General features: G+C 37.2%; 1 long non-coding RNA gene across 1 annotated transcript in view; it reads right to left on the reverse strand.

Moving 5' to 3' along the window:
- Nucleotides 1–1883: 1883 nt before the first annotated feature.
- LOC101929230 (uncharacterized) overlaps nucleotides 1884–18325 on the reverse strand; it is a 42108-nt gene continuing 25666 nt past the window's right edge. The window contains exon 6 of the long non-coding RNA XR_001739327.2: nucleotides 1884–2329. This is a non-coding gene — a long non-coding RNA (uncharacterized LOC101929230). The remainder of the gene's footprint in view (nucleotides 2330–18325) is intronic.

Here is an 18325-nt window from a genome sequence, read left to right on the forward strand (position 1 = left end):
GACAGTTCTTCTATACTTAGTCTATTGATTCAAATGCGAATCTCTTCTGGAAACACCCTCACAGACACATCCAGAAATAATATTTTACCCGTTGTTTTGGGCATCTCTTAGCCCAGTCAAGTGAACACATAAAATAACTATCACACTTCCCCAAGTAAACTTCACGTCCCTGCATTGCAAAACTGTATCCTGTCCTTTTTGTCAGTGCCTGGCAGAGAGGATGGCACATGCCACCTGCCTATGTATTAATTGTGCAATGTTAGATTAATAACAATTTGTTGAACACCTATGTGCTAAGCGCAGGATATATGCCATATTATAACAATTCTATGCATTAAGTACTATTATTATTCTGGTTTATAAATAAGGAAATTGGGAAGTCAGTTGGTTTAAATAGTATACCAAGTGTCAGAGTTGGGATTTGAAGTCAAAGCCTTATCTGGGAACAAATGCAGTATGATGTGGTGAGGTTTCTCTCCAGGGTTCTGCTTTGTGAGTTATTCTTTCATTTCTTCTCAGTTTCTTCTCACCACAGTCACTCCCTTGGGAGTGAGAGCAGAAAGTGGTATTGGGTTTAAAAAGATGCGTGAATGACAAAAAATTCTTCATGGAAGTGCTTAGAGGAGAGTGATGTTGGGGGCAAGGAGTGAATAAAGTCACATTACACAATTAGCTGAGACACTTGAGTTCAAAGTGACTTAATTTTGTAATGATGGTAGTATTTCTCAAACACGCAAGCAGCATCAAAGGCAGAGTTTTCACTGTCAGTAACGCAATTGGAGCAAGAGACTATGGAGTTTATTGATGCTGATTAATCAGGTGACTCACCTGGACATACTTGACATCCAACTCCACTCGAAAATCTTGTGCTTTTATGGCATTACGGCAGAAGGAAGTAATGGCAGTACTTCCCCTCTCTTAGATTTGCATAATTGTAAAGCATCAATGATGCCATTACTTTTTCAAAATGATTGTTTTGAAAATGATTAGCTACTACAAGTCCTAGAATAAAATATGTCTGTATATTTCCTGCCTTTACAAATGCCTGAGAGCAAAGACAATGGACTGGAGAAACATCTGAAAGAAGCAGACAAACATCTGCTAGATCAATAGTCCTCACACAATTAGCCTCCATGGAAGGCAGACCTTAAAAGACCCAAAGCTAGAATTCTATTCATGAAGAGACTGACATAAAAGAGATGGTATATATATAAAGTACTTTGAATATTATAAGGAACTCTCCAGATGTGGGACATATTGTTTAAGCAATTCATCAAAAGACTTCCTAGGAAGGGTCTTTAATATTTCTGGGATGGTGAAAACATGAAGAGAGATGCCTGTGGTTTAACGTGTATAAGGAAGATCCGAGACTTATTAAAATAGAAGAAAAAATTGCATTGAATGAAAGATGTTAATCTATGATTATCTTTGGAATGTTCTACACATTGAACAAGCCTCTAAAATGGACTAATGCTCTCTGCAGTATTTTGGCAAGTGACTTTGGCAGCCTCCACTGTCAGGGTCCTTTGTTCTTGAACCCTGGAGTTTAGGTCATAGAGACAATCTCATTTCAGGAAAGAAAACATTCTTTCCTAGAGCTGACAATTGGAAACCCACAAGAAACTCAGCTGCATATATTGGTGTGGAGCCTAGAGAGGATCATGAGACACTGGTGAGAAATGGAAGTAGCAGGAGCATATGAGAACATGTGCAGCAACACTTCCTTCCACTGTTCCTCTAAATTGGTATTGCAGAGGTTAAGGAAGAATTATGATGTCCCCGGGGTGGTCTAAAAGCACTAAGAACATGCAGTTACCAGTTAGTTTTTGTAAAACAACTTTCTTGTGGTGTATAGAAGTGGATTGTATATATACACACACATATTTAATATTCACTGAGCCTTTATTATGTGCCAAATGCTTGCGAGTATACTTCCAAAAACTGAGGATACTGAGGGTCTAGATTGAAGCTAAAAGCTGAATAGAAATGGAGGGTGATTTGGTTATTTATCCCTGTATAACAAATGACTCTGAAAATGTAATAGCTGAGAACAATGACCATTTATCATCTTTCACAATTCGGTGTAGGACTGGTCTCAGCTGGGTAGTTCTTCCGCTCTGTGTGGTATTGACTGGGGCTGTCATCTTCCGAAGGCACAATGAGACGGTAATGTCTATGATGGCTCAATTACATAGCTGGCTGTCAGTGCTGGCTACAGGACAGAGCTCAGCTCAGCTGTCAGCCAGGGCTCCTTGAATCCTCTTGCTAGCTTTCTACATGGATTCAGCTCTGCATAGCATGGTGGCTGGTTCCAGGAGCAGAATTCCATCTACGAGAAAGCAGAAGTTAAAGAGGCCCACCCTTGAAAATTACACCCTGTCGCCTCTGATGCATCTTATTGATCAAAGGAAGTCACAGGACCAGCTAAAATTTAAGGCAAAGGGAAACAGATTACATCTTTTGCATGAGCAGAGGCAAAATACAAAAATGAAATAAAATATGCCCATCTTTAATACACAATGTACAGAAAGGAATGTATCTGGGATGACTGTAGAAAAGAAAGTAGTCTTATCAGTAGATCACTGATGAGGGTTCAAGTTTGTGTGCGTATGTGAGTGGAGTGAAATTTGTATTTTTAAAAATGTATTACATAGTTCACAGGAAATTTTAATGGCAGTGAGAGACCAGGAGCCCATGTATACCAAGCCAATGTTGTATGAGCTGCATTTTCAGAGAAGGCCATCGTATTCCGTCCCCAATGGTTGTGGGCTTGTTGCTGGGGACCCTCAGAACTGTGGCTCCTCCTTCAGCCTCTCTGCCATGCCAAGGCTCTGGGAAGTCCCTCCATTATTGAGGACAAGGGGATCCTATCTATATGGTATGATAGTGATTCTAGCTTGGGTGTTACACAAAATTTGAAAAAACACTTAAATTCTTATTTTCCTGATTTTAGTTCTTTCTATGCTTAACTATTATACATGAAGACCGTGTTCCCTATTCTTAATATTAGTCCTTCTGTAAAATCTTGTATGCTGTAAGAGCTTAGTTAATACTTTTTGATTGATTAAATAAATGCATTCTTTTAAATCTAATACCAATTTTCTTCATTTTTAGTTATTGTGGTGTCTCTGATTATGACAATATTTTCTCGAGATGCATAAAAAATTCATGGTAGGAATGAAATCAAAATCACAATTTTATTTACTTACAAGTAGTTTGTTTTACTTGGATACAATATCTAGTTTTCTGTACCTACTACAAGTTATAACTATAGCCCTCACCACTGACCCAAAGCTATACTATTTGCTAAATGGGGAATCTGGCAAGAATATGAATGCCTGGCTAACCAAAGATGCTGGAGTTTTCTGGAGGGACTCAAAATATAACAGAATGCTTGTGTCACATTTGTATTCAAAGGAATATGTGTGTATTTAAATACATACATATATGTGTACATTGTATACATATTGATCAATAGATAAATATTTACATGATTTCTTGAGGATAATGATAACCCAGGAAATATTTAAATTATCTGAGCTGAGCTACTTATTCATCTTCAGCAACTCCCATCACTAGAAATGCTTCACTTCTCATTCAAGAATTAGAGGACTGAGCTTTAGTTCCATTTCTCCTTCTGAATAAGTCATAAAGACATGCCTCATTTGCCCATAGGCCATATTTCCAGCCATCCAATCCACACAAAGTGATCGAAATTGGTTAAACAGATTTCTAAGAACAAAAAGAGCTCTCACAAATCCTGTACCCTTTTGCTTTTTGGTGAGATATGACACAACCTTTATAGCAGAGGAGACTTAATGTGGTTTGTAAAGTTAAGCTTCTTAGGAGAGAATACTAGAAGTAGTGGAACAGTGAGGGTTTCTGCATATAGACAATGCAGTATAATGGTTAAAATCTAAGTTAACACAATGCATAAGTAGCAGTTCCAAGTCCAAATGTGCTTCACTGCTCTGGACCCAATTTCCGTATATGTAAAATGGAGATAGATACTTTGCAGGGTTGCTGTAAATTCTGTAAACTCTTTATATCACATAGCATAGTGCCAGGAAACAGAAGAAATCAAATGGCACTTAAACTATACAGAAACGTCGTTTATATAAAATAGACAATTTCCTAGTAATACTGGAAAATAAACCAGCACTCTATGTATGTACACTTCTGTATTATATGTTAAATCTGGCAGAAAAAAATGCTACTACCACAATGCCAATGACGTGCATACATGATGAATAGATTCAGCTCATCTCTGAGCTCCGTGGAGAAGGATACATAAAAAATGCAAACATACATTCAGACAAACTACTAAGATACACCTGTGCAAACATAAAATTAGCACCATCTCAAGAAGTGTGAAAAGAAGGAGCCTAAAAACCTTGTTTACTCTTGAGTTTTGTTGATTTTCTGCAAAAAGAATAATGATTGAAGAGAAGTACTTCTACTGTTCTTCCTGTCTGAAATTCTAAAGCCTGGAGGCCATCTGAGTTCTCCTTTTAGGTTTTGGCAGTTATTTGAGAAGTGGCATAGGAGGGTAAGCAATCACAGCAGGTTCTAGAGAAAGAAGCATCACCTAAATTGCTATTCTAAAGTAGTAAACAGGATTCAGGCAACTTCTGAGAGTTAGACAACTTCTAAGAGGGTAAACCAAGGATAGAAACAGGATGTGGAGTGTTGACCTGTTCTATATGCTTCACTCTGATATATAGATGACTGATTTATTATTTTCTCGTTGAAGAGTATGCAAAATTTCTGCCTTTTGAAATAGATGATTATTGGTTACAGGTTGCAGGAGCAAATTAATAAATAACTTTCATAAAGTTAAAGAACCAAGGTCATGTTGGGACAAATATGGACTTAGGCTTGGACGGCAAAACAGCGAGGTCAGGTGTAGTTGAGACACTGGAAATGTTGCAGTATTTGTGTGTTCAGTACAGGAAGTGGTCCTTGTGTATTTGGCAGATCTGTTTAAGGAAAAGATTTGGTCATGTTCTTAGTCCAGACCCTATACTTAACACTTTCCAATCAGTAGCCACCAGCCACATGTGCCATTCAGCACTTGAAATGTGGCTGGTATGAATGAGTAAATCTATTAAGTATAAAATACACATGCAATTTCAAAGATTTAGTATTAAAAAGGATGTAAAATATTATATACTAATGTTTATACTGGTTGTTGTAACAGCAGTATTTTGGATATCTAGGGCTAACCGACAAGTTATTAAAATTAATTATTTTGTTTTAATTTTTGTGGATACATAGTATGTGTGTATATTTATAGGGTACCTAAGATGTTTTGGTACAGGCACGCAATGTGAAATAAGTACATCATGGACAATGGGATATCCATCCCCTCAAGCATTTATCCTTAGAGTTACAAACAATCCAATTTCACTCTTTATTTCAACATGTGCAATTAAGTTATTATTGACTACAGTCACCCTACTGTACTGTCAAATAGTAGGTCTTATTCATTCTTTCTATTTTGTTGTACCCATTAACTATTCCCACCTTCCTCTCAGCTCCCAACTACCCTTCCCAGCTTCTGGTAACAATTCTTCTACTCTCTGTCAGTGAGTTCAATTGTTTTGATTTTTAGATCCCACAAATAAGTGAGAACATGTGATGTGCATCTTTCTGTGCCTGGCTTATTTCACTTAACACAATGATCTCCACTTCCGCCCATGTTGTTGCAAATGACTGGATCTCATTCTTTTCTCTGGCTAAATAGTACTCCATTATGTATATGTACCACATTTTCTTTATCCATTCATTAGTTGATGGAAACTTACATTACTTCCAAATCTTAACTACTGTAAGCAGTGCTGCAACAAATAGGAATGCAGGTGTCTTCAATATTCTGATTTCCTTTCTTTTGAGTATATACCCAGCAATGGGATTGCTGGATCATACAGTAGCTCAATTTTTAGATTTTTGAGGAATTTCCAAACTGTTCTCCATACTGGTTGTACTAACTTACATTCCTATCAACAGTGTACAAGGGTTCCCTTTTCTTGACATCCTCGCCAGCATTTGTTATTGCCTGTCTTTTGTATATAAGCAATTTTAACTGGGGTGAGATGCTATCTCATTGTCGAGTTAACGGGTGCAGCACACCAACATGGCACATGTATACATATGATTTGCATTCTCTAATGATCAATGATGTTGAGCACTTTTTCATATGCCTGTTGGACATTTGTATGTCTTCTTTTGCAAAATGTCTATTCAAATCTTTTGCCTATTTTTTAAATAGAATTATTAGATGTTTTTTCCTGTAGAGTTGTTTGAGCTCCTTATATATTCTGGTTATTAATCCCTTGTCAGATGGGTAGTTTGCAAATATTTTCTCCCATTCTGTGGGTTGTCTCTTTATTTTGTTGATTGTATCCTTTGCTGTGCAGACACTTTTTTTAACTTGATGTGATCCCATTTGTCCATTTTTGCTTTGGTTGCCTATGCTTTTGGGCTATTGCTCAAAAAATCTTTTCCCAGACCAATGTCTTTGAGAATTTCCCCAATGTTTTCTTGTAGTAGTTTCATAGTTTGAGGTCTTAGATTTATGTCTTGAATCAATTTTGATTTTATTTGATTTTTATATATGGCAAGAGATAGGAGTCTAGTTTAATTCTTCTGCATATGGATATCCAGTTTTCCTAACATCATTTATTGAAGAGACTGTCTTTTCCCCAGTGTATGTTCTTGGCACTTTTGTCAAAAATGAGTTCCCTATAGGTGTGTGTATTTATTTCTAGGTTCTCTATTCTGTTCCATTGGTCTATGTGTCTGATTTTATGCTGGTACCATGCTGTTTTTGTTATTATAGCTCTGTAGTATAATTTGAAGTCAGGTAATATAATTCTTCCAGTTTTTTTTTTTTTTTTTTTTTGGCTTAGGATAGCTTTGGCTATTCTGGGTCTCTTTTGTGGTTCCATATAAATCTTAGGTAGGTTTGCCCTATGTGAAGAATATCATTGGTATTCTCATAGGGATTGCATTGAATCTGTAGATTGCTTTGGGTAGTATGGACATTTTAACAACATTGATTCTTACAATCCATGAACATGGAATATTTTTCCATTTTTTGGTGTCCTAATCAATTTATTTCATTAGTGTTTTATGTATTTTATTATAGAGATCTTTCACTTCTTTGGTTAAGTTAATTCATAGTTATTTAATTTTATGTGTGGCTATTGTAAATGGGATTACTTTTTTATTTCTTTTTCACATTGTTCATTGTTGGCATATAGAAATGCTACTGATTTTTGCATGTTGATTTTGTATCCTGCAACTTTACTAAAGTTCTTTATCAGTTCTAACACTTTTCTTGTGTACTCTTTAGGATTTTCCAAATATAAGATTATATCATCTTCAAACAAGGATAATCTCACATCTTCCTTTCCAATTTGGATGACCTTTATATTTTCTCTTGTCTGATTGCTCTAGCTAAGTCTTCTAGTACTGTGGTGAATAACAATGGTGACAGTGGGCATCCTTGGCATGTTCTGGATATTAATGGAAAGGCTTTCAGTTTTTCCTCATTCAGTTTGACATTAGCTGTGGGTCTGTCGTATATGGCTTTTATTATGTTGAGTTGTGTTGTTTCTATCCCCAATTTTTTTGAGGATTTTTAATCATGAAGAGATGTTGAATTTTATTAAATGCTTTTTTGGCATCAGTTGAAATTCTCATATGGCTTTTATCTTTCATTCTGTTGATAGGATGTATCATACTAATTTATTTGCATATGTTGAACCATGCTTGCATCCCAGGGATAAATCCCACTTGATTATGATGAATACTCTTTCTAATGTATTGCTGAATTTGTCTTGCTAGTACTTTGTTGAGGATTTTGCATCAATAGTCATAAAAGACGTTGGCCTGTAGTTTTCTTTCTTTGATGTTTCTTTGTCTGGTTTTGGTATCAGGGTAATATTGGCCTCATAGAATGATTTTGGAAGTATTCCCTCCTCCTCTGTTTTTTGGAATAATTTGGGTAGAATTGGTGTAAGTTATTCATTAAACGTTTGGTAGAATTCAGCAGTGAAGCAATTAGGTCCCGAGTTTTTCTTTATTGGGAGATTTTTATTCCAGCTTTGATATCATTGTTATAAGTCTGGTCAGGCTTTGGATGTCTTCCTGGTTCAATCTGAGTAGGTTATATGTATCCAGGAATTCATCCATTTCTTCCAGATTTTCTAATTTATTGGCATATAGTTGCTTACAATAGCTGCTAATGAACCTTTGAATTTCTGCAGTATCAACTGTAATGTCTCCTTTTTCATTTTGATTTTGTTTATTTAGATCTTCTCTCTTTTTTTCTCTTAGTCTGGTTAAAGGTTTGTCAATTTCGTGTAACTTTTCAAGAAATCAGCTTTTGGGTTCATTTGTAATGTTTATTTTTATTTTAATTTCATTTATTTCTGGTCTGATCCTCATTATTTTTCTTCTACTAATTTTCGGTTTGGTTTGCTCTTGCTTTACTGGTTCTTTAAGATGCATGATTAGATCATTCATTTGAAGTTTTCCTCTTTTTTAATGTGGGCACTAATAGCTATAAACTTCCCTCTTAGTACTACTTTTGGTGTATCACACAGATTTTGGTATGTTGTGTTTCCATTATGTTGTATTTCAAGACATTTTTCAATTTCCTTCTTAATTTCTTCATTGGCCCACTTGTCATTCAGAGCATATTGTTTTAATTGCTATATATTTGTATAGTTTCCAAAATTCCTCTTATTATTAATTTCTAGTTTTATTGCATTGTGGTCAGAGAAGATGCTTGATATTATTTCAATTTTTAACTTGTTTTAGGACTTGTTTTGTGACATAGCCTATGGTCTGTCCTTGAGAATGATCCATATGCTGAAGAAAAAAATGTGTATTCTGCAGCTCTTGGATAAAGCATTCTGTAAATATCCATTAGATCCATTTGTTCTATAGTGCAGATTAAGTCTGATGTTTCTGTTGATTTTATGTCTGGAAGATCTGTCCAATGACAAAAGTGGAATGTTGAAGGCGCTAGCTATTATTGTACTAGGGCCTATCTATCTCTTTAGCTCTAAAAATATTTCCTTTATATAGCTATGTGCTCCAGTGTTGGGTACAGATATATTGAAAATTGTCACATCCTCCTGCTGTCTTGCTGAATTGTCCTTTTTATCATTACGTAGTGAACTTCTTTGTCTCTTTTTGAAGTTTTTGTCTTGAAACCTATTTTGTCTGATATAAGTATAGCTACTCCTGCCCATTTTTTGGTTTCCATTGGCGTGAAACATCTTTTTTCATCCTTTCATTTTCAGTCTATGTGTGTCTTTATAGCTGAAATGTATTCTTTGTAGGCAACAAATCAATGGGTCTTGTTTTTTCATTCATTCAGTCAGAGCCTATGTCTTTTGATTGGAGAGGTTAGTCCATTTACATTCAGTGTTATTATTGATAAGTAAGGACTTACTACTGCCATTTTGTTATTTGTTTTCTAGTTGTTTTATGGTCTTCTCTTTATTCTTTCCTTCCTGTTTTCCCCTAGTATAGGTGATTTTCTCTGGTGATATGACTTAGTTTCTTACTTTTAATTTTTTGTGTATCCATTGTATGTTTCTTGGTTTGAGATTACCATGAAGCTTGCAAATACTATGTTATAACCCATTATTTTAACTTGATTACAACTTAACATTATTTGCATAAACAAACAAGCAAAAGGAAAACTAATAAAAACTGTACACCTTAACTTTGTCCCCCGACTTTTCAACTTTTTGCTGTTTCTATTTATATCTTACTGTACTGACTATATCTTGAAAAGCTATTGTAGTTATTATTTTTGACTGGTTCATCATTTATTCTTTCTACTTAGGATAAAATTAGTTTACAATACCACAGTTACAGTGTTATAATATTCTGTGTTGTCCTGTATACTTACTATTACTGGTGAGTTATGTACATACAGGTGATTATTTATTGATAATTAGTGTCTTTTTCTTTTTTATTGAAGTACTCCCTTTAGCATTTCTTATGGGACAGGTCTGGTATTGATAAATCCCTCAGCTTTTGTTTGTCTTCCTTTATTTCTCCTTCATGTTTGAAGGATATTTTTCACTGGATATACTATTCTAGAGTAAAAGATTTTTTTCCTTTAGCACTTTAAATATGTCATGCCATTCTCTCCTTGCCTGTAAGATTTCTACTGAAAAATATGCTAACAGATGTATTGGCACTCTATCGTATGTTATTTGTTTCTTTTATATTGCTGCTCTTAAAATCCGTTCTTTATCTTTTACCTTTGGGAGTTTGATTACTAAATGCCTAGTGGTAATCTTCTCTGATTTAATGGACTTGGTATTCTATAACCTTTTTGTGCTTGGATATTGATATCTTTCTCTAGGTTTGGGAAGTTGTTTGTTTTCATCCCTTTGAATAAACTTCATACCCCTATGTCTTTCTCTACTTTCTCTTTCAGGCCAATATCTCTTAGATTTGCCTTTTTGAGGTAATTTTCTATATCCCATAGCCATGCTTCATTTTTTTAAATTATTTTTTCTGTAGTCTCCTCTAACTGTATATTTTCAGATAGCCTGTCTTCAAACTCACTAGTTCTTTCTTCTGCTTCATCAATTCTGCTATTAAAAGACTCTAAGGCATTCTTCTTTCAGCTCCAGAAATTCTGCTTGATTGTTTTTAATAATTTTGCACTCTTTGTTAAATTTATCTGATAGAATTCTAAATTCCTTCTCTGTGCTCTCTTGAATTTTTTTGAGTTTCCTCAAAACAACTATTTTTAATTATCTGTCTGAATTGTCACATATCTCTGTTTCTTCAGGATTTGTCCCTGGTCCCTTATTTAGTTGATTTGGTGAGGTCATGTTTTCCTGGATAGTGTTGATGTTAGTAGATGTTCTTTTTTATTTTTTTTTTTTTCCTAGGTATTGAAGAGTAAGGTATTTATTGTAGTCTTTACTGTTTTGGCTAATTTGTAGCCATCCTCCTTGGGAAGACTTTTTAGATATTTGAAAGGACTTGAGTGTTGTGATCCAAGCTGTATTTACCTTAGGGGGTAACTTAAGCCCAATAACACTGTGGTTCTTGCAGACACATTGACATACTGCCTTGATGGTCTTGGACAAGATATGCTAAAATTCTTTTGATTACCAAGCAGAGACTCTTGTTCTCTTCCATTACTTTTTCCAAAACATACAGTCTCTCTCTTGTGAGCCACCTAAGGCTGTGGGTGGAGTGACACAAGCCTCCCTGTGGGCACCACCACTATTACTGTGCTGGGTCAGACCTAAAGCCAGCACAGCCCTGGGTCTTGCCCAAGGCCTACTCCACGGATACTGCCTATGTTCACTTAATACCCTGGGGCTCTACAATCAGCAGGTGGCAAAGCCAGCTAGGCCTGTGTCCTTCACTTCAGGGTGGCAAGGTGGGTCCAGAAGTGCCATCCAGGAGTAAAGGACTAGAGTCAGAAACCTTAGAAGTCTACCCAGTTTTCTATTATACTGTGGCTGAGCTGGCACTAAAACCACAATATGCTGTCCTTCCCACTCTTTCTTCTGCTTTCCAAAGGCAGAGGAGCCTCACCCCGTAGCCACCATGACCCCAGACCACAAAGAGTACTACCAGATTACCGCCATCGTCTCTTAAGGCACAAGGTCTCTTAAGTCAGCTTGTCATGAATGCTGCCTGGCCTAGGACTTACCCTTCGGGGCAGTGAGCTCCCCTCTGGCCCAGTACAGGTCCAAAAAAACCATCCAAACATCAAGTCCTGGAATCGAGGACCCCAAGAGCCCACTTGATGCTCTACTCACCTGTGGCTGTGCTGGTGCCTAAGGCGCAAGAACAATTCCCATTTACTTTTCCCTCTGCTTTTCTCAAGAAGGAGTTTTGCTCCACAGCCACCAAGGGTGGTGATGTGCTGAGTCTTACCTGAAGCCATCAAGTCTCAGAGGATCACCCGAGCCCTCGATGTAGCACCTGGGTATTGCTGCTGGTTATTCAGGGCCCGAGGGCTCTTCAGTTATCAGATGATGAGTGCTGCCAGCACTGGGTCTTTTCCTTCAAGGCAGTGGGTTCTGGCCAGGATGTGTCTAGAAATGTCTGTTTGCTAGGGCCTGGAACAGGGACTTCATGATTCTGTCCAGTGCCCTATCCTGCTGTGGCTGAGCTGGTATCCTAGATGCAAGACAAAATCTTTCTCATTCTTCCCTCTTCTCTCCTCAAGCAGAAGAAAGGGGTTTCTTTTGGAGCCTTGAGCTATGCAGCCTGGTTTAGAGGAGGGGTGATGCCAGCATTCCCTTGGCTTCCCCAGCTGGTGTCTCAGTATGTCACGTGTCCCCTCAGTCCACTGTCTCTGGACCTAGTTCAGCACTGGGACTCACCTAATAGTTGCAGTCCTTTTGGCCTAGACTGCCTTTCAAGTTTACTTGGTGATACAGCGTGCTGTAGCCCTCGGTGGTGAGGTTTGTAGGCACTCAAGTTTGGACCACTGGGATCTGCAATTCCCCTCTGGCTAGGGCTGGTTTGAAAGCTCCCTCTGTGAGCAGGCATCAGCTGAGTTTGGTCTGGTTTTCCTTTCTGCTCTAACAGAACAGCACTGAGTTCAATGCCTCACAATTGCTGTGTTCTCCCCCAGCACCCAGAGAGGCTCTCTGCATCACACTGCTGCTGTCGGGGGTGGGTGAGGGGTGGTGTTGGTGATTCAGGACTGTTTTTTCTGTCTCTTCAAAGCCTCTTTCGGTGATGAGAAGTTAAAAGCAGTACAATGAGGGCTTGCCTGATTTTTAGTTCTTATGAAAGTGTTTTATCTGTGTAGATAGTTGTTAACTTAATGTCCTTGAGAGGGGAACAATTGCTGGAGCTTTCTATTCTGCTGTTTTGCTCTGCCTCCTCTCAAATTATTAGAATTAATTTCACCTGTTTCTTTGGACATTTTAATGTGGCTACTAGAAAATCTAAAATTACAGATGTGGTTCGCGTTATGCTTGTATAAAGAAGTGCTATCTAGACAGTGCCAGACTAAAAAAATAGGTAAGGCTTAACCAGCCAGGTAGTAAGTCTACTAACTTGTCAACTCTATTGTAGGAAGCTTTTTGCCCAGCTGTAACATAAGGAATATTCATAGTAGATAGAAAAAATTTCAATTTGAAACTGAAGAAGGAAGAGGAGATAGAGAAGAAAATATTAAGGTGATTAGCATAGCAATAGTACAATTTATTGCAAGATAGTCTTGGAAATGAAAAAAGAGAGCAGAGATCAAGTATATTCAAGTTCTCTGTTAGAAAAAGGAGATTAAGATGCAGATGATAGTCTGATAGGTTTGTGTCAACATGCTGTGCTCTATGTCAAAATTTTAGTTGGTATAACTTAGGTGGAGTATTAGAGTGTTTTTCAGTATCACCTATAAGTGCAGATAGAATGCCCTACTCCCACCTCAATGAATAACCACGTTATGCTGAGTTAAACAAATTTATAAAAGTTCGTTAAGCTTTTCCATATTATAAATCTGAGATATTCCAAATCTCTTTGAGGCACTGAAAGGCCAAAATCATTTCACGCGTTGGAACAGATAGATCGTCTCAAAATTTGTTTTCAGTAGTAGTGTATGGTTGATTTTCTTTGGGCTGGACTGCTGAAAGTAACCATGGGGATCTCCCTGGGAGCAAGAGTGAGGATGAAAAGCAGATTCCTTCAGAAGAAACTGGTTTCGATGGACAGGATCATACATATCTCAAGTTAAAAAAAAAAGGTGGACTATTGAAATTGGAAAAGAGAGAAAATCCATTTTTTCCTCACTCATGCCTACTTTTTGTTACACATCTGTAATGGCACTACAAAACAAGTTAGCTATTCCTGGCTAATGTTGAAGAAACAAAGTCTTAAAATTAACTTTCATTAGTTCACATAAAGAAAACAAAGGTAAACTTAAGATTCTGCTTGTAAGGTCCAAACTGTCTACTTGCGAAGACAAAACGTACAGAGCAGAGAATGTTTTACCCAAAGAGAGCTTCTTTGTGGCAAATTTCTCACAATCTTAAAGGTCCAGGGCTACAGAAATTGGTATTTTCTTCAAGAGAGAGCTCTAGTGAGGGGCTTAGGAGGGCAGTTGTTGTAGATAGGTTAACTTGGTTAATATTGGATCAGCTGCTTGTGAGCAGTGTGACCGTAACAAGTTACTAATCTCTAAAATTTAGCGTACCCATCTTGGACATGATAATATAATAATACCTACCTATAGTGTTATCTCACGCATGCAAAAGAGTTGATACACATAAAATGCCTAATAGGATAACTGACACTTAATAAACACTAAGTGTTAACTGTTATATACTTCAATGGCCAATGAGGATTTATCTGTATAGTAACATATTACTCATTGCTGAAGGATGAGTTCTCTGGCATGCAGATTCTGAATGGAGCAAACTCTTCAGAAAATTGATTACTGAATACTGATGCAATCAACTCTTATGGAAGGAAGCAGAATTGGACAGGATTGGGATGGAAGCAGGGTTTGCCAGAGGGAAAAGTTTTGTTGAGATATAGTTTCAATCCAGATTTCTGCTTGCTCCTTAGGAAGCTCTGAAGCTGGCATGGCTCTTCAGAATTGTCCAAATTAGGGTAAGGGACTTGGCCTGGAAACCCCCATGTTAAACAATCACTGGATGTGGTTTGCCTTGGGAAAAAATATGTCTTTGGGTAAGGCAATTCATGAAGACAGCAATTTGAAAGCCACAGTCTCAGTAGCTGGGAATCAAGTTTTTCCATTCTGAAAGGGGCACTGAGCAGCATGTCACAGCATCCACCACACTCAACATGACCAGAAGCAGTGCCATCACTTGTCAAGGAGCTCTATTCCAGGCATTGGAACAGATAGATCACCTGTTCAATAAGGCCTATTAGGTTTGTGGGGAGAGGGAGTTCCAATAAAAACACCTTCTTTTGCTTCTCCTGAGTTTGAAGTCAGATGAGAAATAAGATATTTGAATCCTACACATGGAACTAGAATGACAGTTTTCTTTCTAATAAAGCTGAATTGGATAATGTGGATTTATCTCCTTCAATAATCACCCTATCTAATATACCTTCCCACTGGAATCCAACATATAACACAATCTTCAGGCCTTTCTCTGCAGAGTCAGGGCCAGACACTGTCTAGAATGCAGCCCTTGGACTAGCAGAGGGCACCTATGTCCTGAGGGCGATACGCGCAGAAGGAAGCAGTACTCCCAGAAGTAACTGAGCCTCATATACTCGGTGCTTTCTTCTAATTTCAGAAGAGGTCATGGGAGAGCACAGGAAGTGTTTCCATGGCTTTCTCTCAAGGGGAGTAGAAAATGAGAAAATTTTTCATTCTATAAAAATGAGAAGTGGGATTTAAACATTCCTGCTTAATTCTGCTTCTTCCTCTGGCTACTTTTGGTCTTCCTTGGAGGCTTTGTGTCCTCAAAATAGCTCAACAGAAGACGTTATGTTCATTGGCATCTTCTAACAAGGTCTTTCTGTCCCTGAGGCTAGCTTTAGGCTTCTAAAGAGTGACTGTGTAGCTATGATTCTGAATTTTATAGACATGCAACACTTTTTACCACATAGCACATAAAGATGCAAATAATTCTACAAGACTAATTATACAAAATATGATTGCCTTTCTACACCTCTTCAATTGCCATTCCAGAAAATGGCAATTTTCAAATAGTTTTGCCTTCCTATGGTATCAATCTTCATGTTTCTTAGTACTACACTTACACTGACATGTTTTGATTTTTCCACTTGAGGCATTCTCTATTGATTTACCTGTGGAAGAGAAAGAGCTAATTTTATTTGCTGGTCACCTTTCTCATGTACACTTCCCACACTCCATCCTACCACAATAATTATGACATAATTTTTGATTAGATCAGAATTACAGTGTATTATACTATGACAACTTTTTCTTTTATGTAAAACTTCTTGGTTTCCTTAGAATTAAGAATAGTTTTTTTCTTTTTTTGTTGTTTTGTTTTGTTTACCACTAATTCATTTTCACTCTTATCTCTGGTATCTAAGTATTTTTGTTAAAACACATCAAATATTTGATCGGCCTCTTCTTGAAGAATCTTTTCTGGGTCCTTCTGACCTGCTAATGTCTGAACTGTTTTGTCTCTGGGACTTTTGTTTTGTTTTGTTTTGTTTTGTTTTTTTTTGAGATGGAGTCTCGCTCTTTCAGCGGGCTGGAGTGCAGTGGCGCAATCTCGACTCACTGCAACCCCCGCCTCCTGGGTGCAAGTGATTCTCATGCCTCAGTCTCCCAAGGTGTTGGGATTACAGGTGTAAGCCACAGTGCCCAGCCTGTTTCTGGGATTTCAATGTAGCTTTCGGTCTAATATCTCCTTCCATTGCCAAGTTGGAGATTTCCTGCATCTACTTTGATTCCTAGATCCCATGTCTTTTCATTCTCTGATTTACTTCCTTATTTTGGTAACCACTGTTTCATTACTTTTCTGAGAAAGGGTGCATGAAAGGCAAATCTTTTATGATACTACATGTCTACAAATGCTTTTTATTGATCCTTATACTTAAAGTGACAGATAGGCTGAGTAAAGAATTCTAAATTGAAGATAACCTGATATAACCAATTCTTAAGCTTGTAGGAGATACAGGGAGAAGCTGGGAAGGTGTGTTACTGTTTACTACCAGCTGAGTGTTCAAAACGCTCACATCTGACAAGTCAGGTTCACTCATTCTTCCGCTTTCTTGCCTGCAGCATTTGGTTTTTATAATATTTTCTCCTATTCCTTTGAATTTGTGGTATAAATAGTTCCCTGCTATTGTTTTGGTCAGGTTTCTGGAGTGGTAGCAGAGGAAAATGTGTTTTCCAAATATGCCATCTTATGAAAAGTTTTAAAGCCACTATTTCCCTGTCTCCTAAATTCAAGCAGTGCTGTTGAAAAGTCTACAGCCTTTCTCTTTCTCCATCTTTTTACTTAGCTTACTTTCTTCCTTTTAAATCTCAGCAATAGTTAGTTTTAGGTTTTGTTTTTATTCCAGTGTTGTGAAATTTTATGATGTTGTGCCTTATAGTATCTTTTACTTATTTTACAGGAAACGTGATGACACTGTTCATTCTAGGAACTCACATAATCATTGCTGGCAATCTTTTAAAAGTTATTTTATTTTACCTTTATGTTTATTACTTATATATGAACACTTCTGAATGATTAGTAATCTTAACTGTTTATTTTAATTTTCGTTTCTATTCTCTGACCTCCACTCATTCTTCTGCTTTCTGGAAGATATGTGCAACTATTCATCACTGTATGGTTCAATCTGCTTATTGGTGTCTGATGGGTTTGGGGGGATGTTGCCTTCCTATGTTCATTTCCGATATTCCTTGTCTTATGGTTATTCTCTTTTCATAACACTTTGTTAACTGTTCGGGGGTGTGATATTTTCCCTTATTTCAGTAAGGATATGACTGGAACTTTCTTTTTCTTTCCGAATTTCTTCTATGTCCAAGTTGTTCTTTCTATTTGTTTTGTTCTTTGCCTTTTGAATGGTATCTTCCTTAGATTTCTTATTATTTTTCTTTTAATTGCCTGTCTATTTAAAAAGATGACATAAAAAGTTTGATTTGATATTCGGTGTATGTTGGTAGATTTTACCACAGTTGAAACGACTTCGGCTTTTCACTGTGAGCTTTAAGATTTTTCTCTTGGACTGCACATTTTCTGCCCGGAGGGTATAATTCTGGCTGCCAATACTCTTAGAGCACTGCAGAAGAAGAGTATCACATCTCTGCTGTTCTGAGTATCATGTCTCAAGTGTTCCCTGTCTTTTACCCTCTTCACAGATAATATATCCACCTCCAACCTACAAACAGGGTGTAGGAGGGACGTTGCCTAGCTGATCCAAGAGGACAAGGGAATTTCTGATGCAGCTTCTTAAACAAACTTGCCTGATCTTTTTCTTTCTAGTACCAACTTTACATCCACTGCTCTAGATACCTGATGTAACCAATTCTTAAGCTTGTAGAAGATACGGGGAGAAGTGGGGAAGGTGTGTTACTCTGTTTTCTCTACTACCAGCTGAGTGTTCAAAATGCTCATATCTGACAAGTTAGGTTCACTCATTCTTCTGCTTCCTTGACTGTAGCATTTGGTTTTTATAATCTTTTCTCCCATTCCTTTGTATTTGTGATACAAATAGTCCTCTTGCTATTGTTTTGGTCAGGTTTCTAGAGTGGTAGCAGAGGAAAATATGTTTTCTAAATATGCCATCTTATGAAAATATCTTTTTTAACATATTAGTACTGTATTTTCCCCAGATGCATACATTCACTTTC

This window comes from Homo sapiens, chromosome 2 (assembly GCF_000001405.40).
Source record: "Homo sapiens chromosome 2, GRCh38.p14 Primary Assembly".
Classification (NCBI taxonomy): Eukaryota; Metazoa; Chordata; class Mammalia; order Primates; family Hominidae; genus Homo; species Homo sapiens.